The sequence below is a fragment of the Homo sapiens genome, chromosome 12 (genome assembly GCF_000001405.40).
Source record: "Homo sapiens chromosome 12, GRCh38.p14 Primary Assembly".
NCBI lineage: Eukaryota > Metazoa > Chordata > Mammalia > Primates > Hominidae > Homo > Homo sapiens.
The window spans coordinates 122,297,250-122,311,208 of NC_000012.12; the positions used below are offsets into that span (position 1 = coordinate 122,297,250).

Consider the following 13,959-nt stretch of genomic DNA (forward strand, 5'->3'; position numbering starts at 1 on the left):
AGTAGCTCGGGTGAAATGAAGGACATTAGAAGTCCATAGTCATGACATACACAACTTCTGCTTTGTAGGCTCAGTAAAACCACTTGAACAAAAAATCTCCGGAGAGGAGAAGCGCCTCTCTGTTTATTGTGATCTCCCCTATTTTTGGAACACAGGCACACAGTAGGCACTCAATAACCACGCACTGTGTGAACGAATGTGTCATAGTCAGTATGCTGGTGCTCTCAATGGGTATGAGTTAGTAGTGGTACTCAGAAGCCAGGATTCTCACAGAATGAAGAACTTTCTGCTCAACTGAGGTGTTCACATTTGGGCTATTTTAGTCTCTTCTCGAACCAAGCAAGTGTTCTGAGGTCCAAAATAGCAGCTCTACCTTGACAGCACAAAACCCATTCCCTGTGTCTGAGAAATTCTAGTCTCGCCTCCCACACACCGACTTCTGCTCCTGGAAGTGCAGAAGGTAATGGGAAAAAACGGAAGAGGAAGCCTCAGTCATTTTTGCATGGCAAAGCCCTTTCAGAGAAGAAGGGAGTGGCGCAGACACAGTGATCGGCTGCACAGATCCCCCTTTTCTAGGCGAGCCGTGTTGCCCAGCTTCTGGGACAGCTTAGCTGGTGGCCCCATCAGGGATCACCACAACTACGGAGCCACTTCCGGCAGGGTCATGTCGCCCTCCCAGCATGGATCACATCCAGTGACTGATCCATGTGGGATTACCGAAAGACTGGCCATCTCCGTCCAGTTTGGGACGAATCTGCATGGCCACTCCAGCTCCAGAGCTCCCCACGGCATTGGTCAAGGCTGTTGCTGGGCCTGCATCATGGCTCAGTTTCTCCAACTGCCTGATCCTGTTTCTTTCTCCTCCTTTCCATCGGAGCTGCCCCGAGAGCATACTTCGGTAAGTATCATCACACTAAACTCTCTCTTGGCCTGTTTCCCAGGGAACTCAACCTGCAACAGTACGCATTATGCTACCAACTAAAGTTCTGTATTATGCAGGAAAGACCACATGCCTTAGGACTGGTTTAAGTTGATATGAATATGTACATGAATTATGTAAGAATATTTACATCTTCACACTGGGCATGGCGGCTCAAGCCTGTAATTGCAGCACTTTGGGAGGCCGAGGCGGGTGGATCACCTGAGGTCGAGTTCAAACGTGGCCAACGTGGCCAAACTCCGTCTCCACTAAAAATAAAAAAAAATTAGCTGGGCGTGGTGGTGGGCGTCTGTAGTCCCAGCTACTAGGGAGGCTGAGGCAGAAGAACTGCTTGAACCCATGAGGCAGAGGTTGCTGAGATTATGCCATCGCACTCCAGCCTGGGTGACAGAGCAGCACTCTGTCTCAAAAAAAAAAAAAAAAAAGAATATTTACATCTTCAAATACATTCACATTGTCCTTTATCAAAGAATGATATTGGGGCTGGGTGGTGGCACATGCCTGTCTGTAATCCCAGCATTTTGGGAGGATGAGCCAGGTGGATCACTTGAAGTCAGGAGTTCAAGACCAGCCTGGTCAACATAGCAAAACCCTGTCTCTACTAAAAATACAAAAATTAGCTGTGTGTGGTGGTGCACGCCAGTAGTCTCAGCTACTGGGGAGGCTGAGGGAGGAGAATCGCGTGAACCCAGGAGACGGAGGTTGCAATGGGCTGAGATCGCGCCACTGCACTCCAGCCTGGCAACAGGGTGAGACTCCGTCTCAAAAAGAAAAAGAAGAATGATATCAATGGTGTGGCTACAGGGCGGGGGTATCGTGACTGCCTGAAGCCAATACATACAAGTAGTTCTTCACAGAGAGTGCACGTGTCACCTTAATCTTTACTTTTTACTCCTGGGTGCTGAAAAGACAACAGCTACTCTTCCCTTAATACTGCTTGTATCTTTAGTGCAGCCGAAGTGCATCTTCTGTTCAGATGTAAACACCCTTAACTATGCAGAGGCAGAGTGGAAAAGACCTACACCCTTTGGCCTAGACTCTGGCAGTCATTTCCAGGATGGATAACTTCTCTGTGCCAGGCAATGGCTTTCTACAAAACCCCTCAAAAGCCAGAGAGGTTAAGAGGATTCTAGAGAAGTCTAGAGGAAGGTCTCAAACAAGAAACTTAAAAGATACGAAAGAGAATATACAGGCTGTAAAAAGACTTTCAGGAACTGCACATACCCCTTGGACCATTTCCTAAACGTAATAATGCTTGAATGCACGTGATTGCGCCAAAGGATGATTCCCACAGAACCTAAACAAATCAGACGTTTGGCTTTAGTGATTCCCTAAGTTGCAGATATAATTTTTTTAAATAATTACTTTATTATTGTTGTTAAAATGATACATGCTGTTTTTGTTTTTAAAGAATAAATTCAGCAAAAAAAAAAAAAAAAAAAAGATGCCGGGCGCGGTGGCTCATGCCTGCAATCCCAGCACTTTGGGAGGCCGAGGCAAGCAGATCATGAGGTCAGGAGATCGAGACCATCCTGGCTAGCACGGTGAAACCCCGTCTCTACTAAAAATACAAAAAATTAGCCGGGCGTGGTGGCAGGTGCCTGTAGTCCCAGCTACTCGGGAAGCTGAGGCAGGAGAATGGCGTGAACCCGGGAGGCGGAGCTTGCAGTGAGCTGAGATCGTGCCACTGCACTCCAGCCTGGGCGACAGAGCAAGACTCTGTCTCAAAAAAAAAAAGAAGGAAACATATTTCCCCAATTCTTCCACTTAGAAATAACCACAACTAGGCTGGGTGTGATAGCTCATGCCTGTAATCCCAGCACTTTGGGAGGCTAAGGCCAGAGGATCGCTTGAGTCCAAGAGTTTGAGATCAGCCTGGGCATCATAGCGAGACCCTTCTCTACCAAAAACAAACAAACCAACCTGAAAAATTAGCCAGGCATAGTGGTATGTGCCTGTGGTCCCAACTACCTGGGAGGCTGAGGTGGAAGGATGGCTTGAGCCAGGGCAGTAGAGACTGCAGTGAGCTGTGATTATGTCACTGTACTCCAGCCTGGGTGGCAGAGAAAGACATCATCGAAAATAAAAGAAAAAAAAGACCATAACATTAGCTGAATGACATGCCAGACATCTCCATATATATACACAATGAGAAGGACAGAGAGGGGGAAAAAAGCAAATTTAATTTTACTTTAACAGGAGAGAGAATAAATCGAAGTAAACAAAATAAATTGGCTGAGAGCAAAAAAATGTTATTTACCACAAGATATATGTGATTCTAAGACATCCCAATAGTTTCATACATTTGTTTTGTAAAATTTAAGTAAAATATGTTCTTAAAATGTAAGAGGTTTATTTCATTTTCTTAGGTATAAATTAATTCTTTTTTTGTTTTGAGACGGTCTCGCTCTGTCACCCAGGCTGGAGTGCAGTGGCGCGATCTCAGCTCACTGCAACCTCCGCCTCCTGGGTTCAAGTGATTTTCCTGCCTCAGCCTCCTGAGTAGCCGCCCGTATTGAACATCTCTGTGATATAAAAGATGAAGAAGTTTGTACACTTCCACTTTCTTTCAGTCCTACCCCTCAAATTTTGTTAGTCACATTCTCTCTATATTTTTTTCTACTTTTTTTCCTTTTTCTTTTTACCTTGCAAATGTTTTACACTTGCATTCACCAAATGATCAAAATTAACATCACCAATAATGGGACAAAGGAACATCACATGCCTCCTGGCAGGACACAGTATCACTTATATAGTCTTCCTACTAAAAATGCATAACCTGAATATCATCAGGAAGAAGCATCAGACAAACTCAAAATAAGAGAGTTTATGCAGCTTAACTAACTGGCCCTGTTCTCATAAAAAATGTCAATGTCATGAAAGACAAAAACAGAGGAATCGTTCCAGATTAAAGATGACTAAAGAGACACGACAACTCAGTGAAAAGAATGCATGATCTTGGACTGAATCCTGAATTAAAAAAACAATGCTGTAAAGGACGTTACTGGGACAACTGCCTGAACAGGAATAGGGTCTGTACGTTAGGTAATACTGTTGTATCGAGGTTAAACTCCCTGAATTTCATGACTGCACTGTTTATATAAAAATAGTAGAATATATGAGCATTATTTGTTCTATTCTTACAACTTTTCACAAAGTTTGAAACAATTTCCAAATGAAATATTAAAAACTTAGTCTGGGTCGGGCGCGGCGGCTCATGCCTATAATCCCAGTACTTTGGGAGGCCGAGGCGAGTCCTGACCTTCAGGAGGTCAGGATTTTGAGACAAGCCTGGCCAATATGGCGAAACCCCATCTCTACTAAAAATACAAAAATTAGCTGGGCGTGGTAGCGCATGCCTATATTTCCAGGTACTCAGGAGGCTGAGGCAGGAGAATCACTTGAACCCGGGAGGCGGAGGTTGCAGTGAGCCGAGACTGCAGCACTGCACTCCAGCCTGGGCGACAGAATCAGACTCTGTCTCAAAATAACAAAGAACCCCACAACATTAGTATGTGCCCATAAACCCCACAGCTGTGTGCTTAGCTCTCTGTTTACTTGGATTTAACGCTCATGACCAGTCCTTGTGTCCGCTTCTCTTTTGCTAAGGCCTTTATTTTGATTCATGTCTTGCTTGGCTCAAATTTATCATCAAGTGGCTCCTTTTCAGAAGGACTCACAAACACCACAGCTTCTAAGTCCTTTCATGTTTGGAAACATGTGCCTGCTGTCTCACCTGAATAGTCATTGTCTGGAGACGATGCTCTTGGCCATATTTCCTGTCCCTCAGAACAGTGGATGTGGTGCAGCAGAGTTTTTTTTGCATTGAATGTATCTGCAGTTGGGTTGGTTTTTTTAAGTTTTTATAAGAAATTTGATTTTTCCGCCTGGGCACTTAGAATTATTATTTTTTATTATTATTATTATTTTGAGACAGTTTCACTCTTGTTGCCCAGGCTGAAGTGTAATGGCGCTATCTCAGCTCACCGCAACCTCTGCCTCCTGGGTTCAGGCGATTCTCCTGCCTCAGCCTCCCAAGTAGCAGGGATTACAGGCATGCGCCACCATGCCTGGCTATTTTTTTTCTTTTTTAGTAGAGATGGAGTTTCTCCATGTTGGTGAGGCTGGTCTTGAACTCCTGACCTCAGGTGATTTGCCTGCCTCGGCCTCCCAGTGCTGGGATTACAGGCATGAACCACCATGCCCACCATAGAATTATTTCTGTATTGTTGAATTTCAGTAATCACCAGGGTATTTTTTTTGGGGTGTCTATTATTTTGGACCAATTTTTCCCAATGGGTCCCCCTACTGGGTTTCCATACAACCCACTCTCTTTTCTTTTTGCGGATTCAGTTCTTCCTTTACTTGGGGAAATTTCCTTATCGTATCTCCTAATACTTACACACACGCACACACACATATATTTGAGACAGAATCTTGCTCTGTCCCCCAGGCTGGTATGCAGTGGTGTGGTCTCGGCTCACTGCAACCTCCACCTCCTGGGTTCAAGCTATTCTCCCATGTCAGTATCCAAGTAACTGGGATTACAGGCAGGCACCACCACGCCTGGCTAATTTTTGTATTTTTAGTAGAGACAGGGTTTCGCCATGTTAGCCAGGCTGGTTTCAAACTCCTGACCTCAAGTGATCTGCCCACCTCGGCCTCACACAGTCCTAGAATTACAGGCTTGAGCCACCGTGCCCAGCCTAAATATAGATACATTTTTGAGACAGGGTCTTGCTATGTTGCCCAGGCTGGTCTTGAACTCCTAAGCTCAAACAGTCTCCTGGCTTGGCCTCCCAAATTGCTGGGATTACAGGCATGAGCCACTGCATCTGGCCCTTTCCTTTATATTTTAAGAAATGCTTATAAGGCTGCTTCCTGTTTATGATTTATTTAGTAGTCTTGATCTGGTGTGGTTTGGTCTTCAATTTGTTTCCTTAATTCTTCAATCTCCCTGTTAAACTTGTGTCATTTTATCATCTTCTCTTTGAACAGTTGTTTTGTTTTATTCAAATAACTTGAGTTTTACATAACACAAAGCACTATTTTCCCTGGGTAACAGCTTCTCTTGGCCTGAATTCCTGTCTCTCTCTGGCTCTTGATGTTCCGTTCTTTCTCTTTTCCCTCTTAGGGTGCAGAATGTGTACACTTCATCTTATTCTCGATGGCTCTACCTAGACCTTCCCTTGGCTCACATATACCGTGAGTTTCCCCCAACACCCTTCCTACCTTATCTGAGGCCTTTATCTTTAACCCCACGTTACAGCTAAAAGTTAAGCACTGTAATTGACACATTTCTGTAGCCAGAGGTTTCTGGATAGAGTCAAGGTTGGGATAGTTGAGGCTACACATAGACTCCGTTGGTGATCTCTTTCCTGAGATTTTTCTTCAGTGTTCTATGCACATCACTCACTCTACCTGAACACAGGTAATCTCATTCCCACAGGAGAACATCCTCAGCCTTGGGGCACGCATCCCCAGTCAGCTCTTTCCACAGTGCTCCTACTGCTTCTGCTACCTTCCCTTCCTAGAGACTGGAACACAGCCTCTCCTGTGATTGGAGGTGGTTATGTGATACGATCATAGAAATGTGAACTTTCTTCCCCAAATTAGAAGACAGAGCCATGTGAGAAGCCCTTTGCATTTCCCTGCCTTGTCCTCCCCCTGATTCCATCCAGAAAGCTCTGCGATGCTTGAGGTACAATAGCCAACCGGGGATCAGACGGACAAGAACTACACGCCTAGCAGAGCAGCAAGCAGGAAGGAAGGGCCAGCTCCGTGCAGACGTTCCTGAGGGGGTACCCGCCCGGACTGCCTACTGCGGACTTATTATCACTTGAGAAAAATACCCACAGTGCCCTGTGCCTGTCAGCTGCAGTTTGTTGGCTGGACTAGCTACAGAAAATGACCACTGGCAGTTTTTCCCACCGTTGGTAAAATCCTGCGGTGGTGCAAAGGGGCATTGAGCCTCAGAAATTTTTCCTTTACTTTTCCCAGGCTGTCTACTCACTTCTTCAGTCTAATTTTTTCCAAACTAGACTGGGCACAGGGATGGAGAGAATTCAAGTACAAATTCTCAGGATTTTGCTGTTCACCGTCCTTTCCACTTACCACTGGGGACAAAGTGTCAGAGTCAAACCACAATTTTGTTTCCTTTCTTGGTTGCCAATTTACTTTTTATTTTTTGAGACGGAGTCTTGCTCTGTCGCCCAGGCTGGAGTCCAGTGGTACGATCTCGACTAACTGCAACCTCTGCCTCCCGGGTTCAAGTGATTCTCCTGCCTCAGTCTCCCGAGTAGCCAGAATTACAGGCATGCACCACCATGCCCGGCTAATTTTTGTATTTGTTATTAGAGATGGGGTTTCACCATGTTTCTCAGCTAGTCTCGAACTCCTGACCTCAGGTGATCTGTCTGCCTCAGCCTCCTAAAGGGCTGGGATTACAGGCGTGAGCCTCCACGTCCAGCCTTGGGTGCCAATTTAAAAGTTTATAGCATGAAGTTGACTGGCTTTGTTGGCTTCTGCTGGACACATTTTTTAATACAGAAAAACTGTGTTCATAGCATTGGGTACTGAAGGGAGACAGAGTCTGTGATCCAGCTTCAATCAGCCCTAGTTGCCCAGAAGTCCCCTGAGCCCAGATTAAAATTATGATGGCTGATAACCACCATTTTTCCAAACTAATACACAATAAGCTAAAAATAGCTTTCCCTTTCTAAGCATTCATGTCTGGGAATTCAGGCTCATTTAAATGGCAGGTGACTATTCATGATCAATTTAGATGCTAACCCCAATTTTTTTGTATAATACATCTGCTATAACCTCTGTCAGGAAAAACTGTTCATGAAATACAGTTATTGAGTCATTTAATCCCTGTCCGGTTTCCATAAGCAAACTGTAACCTCATTCTACAAATAGCCAGGGGGAGAATCAGCTCTGTTCCCATAGTGATAGCTCACTGTATTTGCTATCTTTACAAGGTGGAACACATGTGAGGTTTGGAAATGATAAATCAGACATATCAAAAGTGACTACCTAAGGTGACTATTTCTATAGAAGAATCAACATTATTTTTAGAATTCCCTATGAAAAGAAAATAGGGGTAGACTATACCTATAGTCCCAGCTACTGGGGAGCCTGAGGCTGAAGGATCCCTTGAGCCCAGGAGGTTGAGGCTGCAGTGAGCTATGATAGTGCCACTGCTCTCCAGCCCAGGCTACAAAGTGAGACTCTGTCTCTTAAAAAAGAAACGAATGCTCTGTATAGTTTCCATTAATCTTAAACTATATGACCTTGCCTGAATTTACACTGTATGCTTCTACCAGCCACACAAAGAGCAAATGCCCCACTAAGTTGGTGATCAGGTTTTCGGCCACCACAACTCTGCAACAAAAGCTACTGCGATGGTTAATACTGAGTGTCAACTCGATTGGATTGAGGATGCAAAGTACTGATCCTGGGTATGTCTGTGAGGGTGTTGCTAAAGGAAATTTCACATCTGAGTCAGTGGGCTGAGAAAGGCTGCCCACCTTTCATCTAGGTGGGCACAACGTAATCAGCTGCCAGCTTGACCAGAATAAAAAGCAGTCAGATGGCTGAGCGCAGTGGCTCATGCCTGTAATCCCAGCACTTTGGGAGGCTGAGGTGGACGGATTGCCTAAGCTCAGGAGTTCGAGATTACCCTGGGCAACATGATGAAACCCAGTCTCTACTAAAATACAATAAATTAGCCAGGCCTGGTGGCACGCGCCTGTAGTCCCAGCTGCTAGGAAGGCTGAGGCATGAGAATCACTTAAGCCCAGGAGGCCAAGTGATCGAGCCACTGCACTCCAGCTTGGACTACAGAGTGAGACTCCATCTAAAAAAAAAAAAAAAGCAAGCAGAAGAACGTGAAAAGACTAGACTGGTTTAGCCTCCCAGCCTACATTTTTCTCCCATGCTGGAAGCTTCCTGCCCTAGAACATTGGACTTCAAGTTCTTCAGCTTTGGGACTCGAACTGGCTTCCTTGGTCCTCAGCTTGCAGATGGCCTCGTGTGGGACCTTGTGATTGTGTGAGTTAACAGTCCTTAATAAACTCCCCTTGATATCTATCTATCCTACTAGTTCTGTCCCTCTAGAGAACCCCGACTAATTCAGCTATGAAGCTGGAAGTAAAGTGAATCATCTAAAAAATGGAAAGAGCAGTCACAAAGTCCTCTGTCTTCTTCTGTAAAACAGAAACTGGGGCCCTGGCTAAAAACAAGATACTCACCAAACACCCATGCATTCATTCAAACCTACACGTCGTGCTCTATGATTCCTACTTTCTCACTGTCTGTGGGAGAAGCAGAAGCACACGATCCTGACCAAAATGCTGGGTTCTAAGGTCAGGGCACTGCAGAGCCCGCACCTGACCACAAAGGGGCAGCAGCTTGCTCTGCTCAAGATCAGAGGCCATGACCTTTAACATGGGCCTTTAACAATGAGGACATGATCACCAAGTGAGAAAGGAGACAAGAAAAGATGCAAAAGCAGACCTGTGAATGGCAAGATTCTGGGATGCACTGGGTTTTCTAAGCAAAATAAATATTTGAGGCAGAAAAAAAAAGTACCAGTAGGGTTCAGAAGCCATTTTTAGAGCAATGTTTGACCGCACCTACCCCATTTCTAGCTCACAGCTTTTTAAAATCTTGAACAATAATCATGAAGTAAGCAGAAAAAAGTTTTATTCTCAGAATAGAACAGCAGCTGGACAAACAGGCTTTCAAACACAATTTCAAATCTCAGCTCCTCCACTGCCTATCTGTGTATCCTTGGTAAGTTCACTTTTTTTTTTTTTTTTTTTTTTTTTTTTTGAGACAGAGTCTCACTCTGTCGCCCAGGCTGGAGTGCAGTGGCACGATCTCGGCTCACTGTAACCTCCACCTCCCAGATTCAAGCAATTCTCTCCCTCAGTATCCCGAGTAGCTGGGATTACAGGCGCCCGCCACCATGCCTGGTTAATTTTTGTATTTTTAGTAGAGATGGGGTTTCACCATCTTGGCCAGGCCGGTCTCGAACTCCTGACCTCATGATCCACCCGCCTCGGCCTCCCAAAATGCTGAGATTACAGGTGTGAGTCACTGTGCCCAGCCATTAGTTCACTTTTGAGCCTGTTTCCTGTCTAAAAATAATCCTACTATCTCTGAGGTAGGTTGTGATGATTCCATGAAATAATGGTAAAGCAATCAGCTCAGTTCAACAAATTATGGTGCTTCTAAATAAAGGAATCAGGAGAGAACCTAGGTCGTGGGTCAGTACTTACCTTTCCCAAGTCAATCTAGTCTCCACTGTCTCGATTTTAGAATGAAAAAGCAAATTTTTCTGTAGTACTACAACTAAAATTATTTTTTTTAAATAGCATTTCTGCCAAATACTGTAGCTCTGTAATACATTTCTAACACAGCTGATCAATAGTCTGACTTAACTGGAGAAAGCAACTAAGTGAAATTTTATAGAATTCTTGGAGATGATACAATAAAAGAGTAACAGAGCCCGATGAATTAATCGGTCTTCATTAAACTAAGGTGGCTTCTAAGTTACTTTAAACGGGTGGCTCACTCCACTCTTTTGAAATATATATACCATGGAAAGAATGGTCTATAATCTTTCTTGGTAATCAATGTTTTTCACAATCTCCATCATGAAAGCCTATCACATTTTAATTCACATACACATTATTTCTCCTTCTGAGTTACATACAGAAAACTACCAGTGGCTTAAGAATCCACCCATTCTTTAAAAGTAAGTCACTTCTTAGCCATTCCTGTAGGCATTACTTTCTAACACTCTGCAAAGTGCCTGATTTTTACATTTTTTAATCACAAAACCTTTTCAGTAGGAAGCTAATTGAAATCTCTACTGCAAAAGAGAACAGAGCTGCTAGGATGGAGAGGAGCCCAAGTCAGGCAAAGAAACTGTGGGAAATTCTAAACAAGGAAGCATGATGTCTCCTGAATCCCTTCTGGTTCTGAGTGACAGAGACAAGAACTGTAATCATCAGTCCAGTTAAGGTCACAGCATAAGTCAAGAGGATGATCTCTGTAAGTTCCTCCTATTTATGGAACCCACTCTCTCTACCAGAGATGTTCAATGAAATGACAGGAGATGGCAATAGACTCAGCACTTAGCCAAAGTCCTTCTCTTCCAAGTCCCTGTGGACACACTGATGCTGGAGATGCCAAATGCTGTAGGTGTTTTAGCTTGTGCCAGGAAAAAAGAACCCCTGCTGGTCAATGGGCTTCCATTCTTCATGACCTCCAGTTTCTCACAAACTCATCAAAGGAGAGTGCAGTGACCCTAGTTAAGTCAACACACTGATACTCTCCTTGGCCCCCATCAGAAGATGACATCTCTTGACACTAGTCGCCAAATGATGCTGAACAAATTACTATCATCTTTGTGCTTCCGTTTCCCCTTTTACAAATGGGGATAATAATAGTGCTATTGCTTAGAATTATGGCAAGGACTGCGATGACAGCTAGCACTTATTTGTGCCTGTCACATAGCAAGAGCCCATAAATGTTAGCTACTATCACCAACAGCATCATCATCATCTTGGAGTCTGAAGAGATGTGGCATTTCTTCCACAAAAGCAACAATGAAGATTTTAAAGTCTAAAGTTAACTCTCCAAAAAGTGCTTTCACCACAAATTGCACCATGTCAATGGGTACTCAGTACAACTACCCCAAACTAATCCATCCCAAGTAAGAATTAATGTTTGCAACACACAACGGGAAAAAAAATTTTTTCCCCTTGGAGTACAAAACAAGAATGAATGACTACACAGCAAAAGTCTCTTAAAAATGTAATTTTAAGCTGCTGCTCTGAAGTCAGATGTGACTCACAATTCAGCACTTTGATTCAACTGTTAGAGAAGAATAAAAGGCAGATATAGCTTCCTTTAAAATCAGTTTTGTTGCCATGTTTAATCAACTTCTATAAGAAACCTTTGTAATTTAAATATAGAAGTAAATAGGTTGTGGTTTGCTTATAGTTCATGCCAGTTGTAACATATATTCTATATTTACCAATGCACACAAGTGTACATGTATGCACAGTTTCATTAGAAAAGGCTTAAGCATGTTTTTTAATTTAAACAAAAGCAGAGTTCTATTTAAAATCAGCTGCCAACACTTACACCAAATCTATATTCTTGGAATCTGTTTCTTCAAAATCAATTTTGATGAAAGTGAAAAAAATCTTAAGAGAAAAATAATTTTGTAATCCAAGTAGTAGTAGGGTGAAGATACTGTCCCCTTCCATTTAAATGTTGAGCTACAAGATTGTCTAATAAAGATAGTATTTTCTACTTGCTTGCAAGTTCCAGTGTTCTGTGTGTTTTTTAAAGGACCTGTCAAATCTCTCCTACCCTAAATCCTACAGCAGCACGTTTGAAAACAAGGAGACACATAGCACAGGTAACTTGGAATTCCATTTGGAATGACCCCACCACACTGAGCAGACCTCCGAGTGGCCTCTGAGCGTGCTGCCAACAGCAGCAGCACCCAGCATGGCACAGCTGGAACCCCTCGCCAAAGGACACTGACCTTTTGATGACTTGTGACTTCGTCCCTGCTTCTCCCCAGCTCCTCAGCAAGTTTAACGTTCTCTTCTTGCAACGCTGAAAGCTGCTGGGACTTCTGAGCTGCTGCCTGCTTTAGGGTTTCTCTGCAAGGACAGTGAGTGCAGGGTTACCATAGAAACAAGACAGGCAAGGAAACTGTGGGAGACAACCAGCTTCACAGCACTGAAGAAAATATATCTGGGTCACGTGCCTGATAGGATCTATAATAACAGCAGACAGTATTATCTACATGCAGAAGGGGTTAAATGGCCATAACCTCCCAAAAGGAGGGCTGCCACCCACAATTATTACATTTTTCAGAACCTAATAAACCCTATGCCCACCCTCCCACCACCCAAACTTACCCCATAAAAAAGGAATTTTGCTATAAAATAAATGACAAATGAGATGGTCAGTACAGCCCTCCTGTCTTTAGGAATATTTCCATTAGATGATTTTACTAAAACCCACTTCGTTGATAAAGTGATTTAATTTGCTGCCAAGGCACTCTGTTCTAACTGCACAGATCTATAATTTGTTTTTTTCTGGAAGAAATAAAAATCCAATGGTCCCATTTACCAGTATCTGTCAGAGTCAAGTGCTGATGTAAATCTGAGTATATTTTTAGGACAACTAGAGGCGGAATGCCCCAAGGAAATATAGTTTCCTAATTACATAACAGGTGTTTTATTTTATAGTAGTCTTTCCACAATGCTAATTTATAATTGAAAGAAGCAAATAAAAATATAATACAGACTGCTAACTTATACCGTGAATATCAGCATAGAAAAAATGAACAGGATAGGTATATTTATTAAACATCTTCTTGTTCTTAAAATAATCCAAAACATACATCCTAAACATTATCCTTTATACATGAATATGCACAATATTTGATCACTAAATCTTAGTTTTATGCTATAGAGGGTTTTGATGGAATTGTGAATTTTAAGTACATCTGTGTTGGTTAAACTCCATTTAGCAAGCTGTCATACATGGCTGAATTCTGAATCAAGTCATCTGGGTATGAATCCATCTGCTGATGCATGAACACATCTATTTTTAACTTCAATTGTCTAATGGGTGGCAGTTCTCGGCACATTCGATTTTCTCAATTTTTAATTCTCCATCCACCTATAATATGCACACTGGGATGACCTCAGGAAGACTTAGGGAAATAAATCCACACAAAAATTCTCTTAGCACACTAAATTAGGCTTTTTACAGAGATGTTTATTTAGCAATTGAAGATAAACTGAGAAGGAATTTTAGCCTCAGCTAGTCACTCACAAAAGAGATGCATATATATGAATCTCTCTCTATATATGTATATATGTATATACATGCACATACACACATATCACAGTGAAAGTTCATCTGTCCAAAGTCCATCAATCTTTGACAAATCAAATTTCCTTATGGTAAAATTA

At 42.9% G+C, this 13,959-nt stretch overlaps 1 protein-coding gene across 24 annotated transcripts in view; it reads right to left on the reverse strand.

Annotated features, from left to right (window-relative positions):
- CLIP1 (CAP-Gly domain containing linker protein 1) overlaps positions 1-13,959 on the reverse strand; it is a 151,488-nt gene that overhangs the window by 25,781 nt on the left and 111,748 nt on the right. For all 24 annotated transcript variants that reach the window (XM_047429314.1, XM_047429321.1, XM_047429320.1 and 21 more), the window contains one exon: positions 12,513-12,633. In XM_047429314.1, coding sequence (XP_047285270.1) covers positions 12,513-12,633 — 121 coding nt within the window. The remainder of the gene's footprint in view (positions 1-12,512; positions 12,634-13,959) is intronic.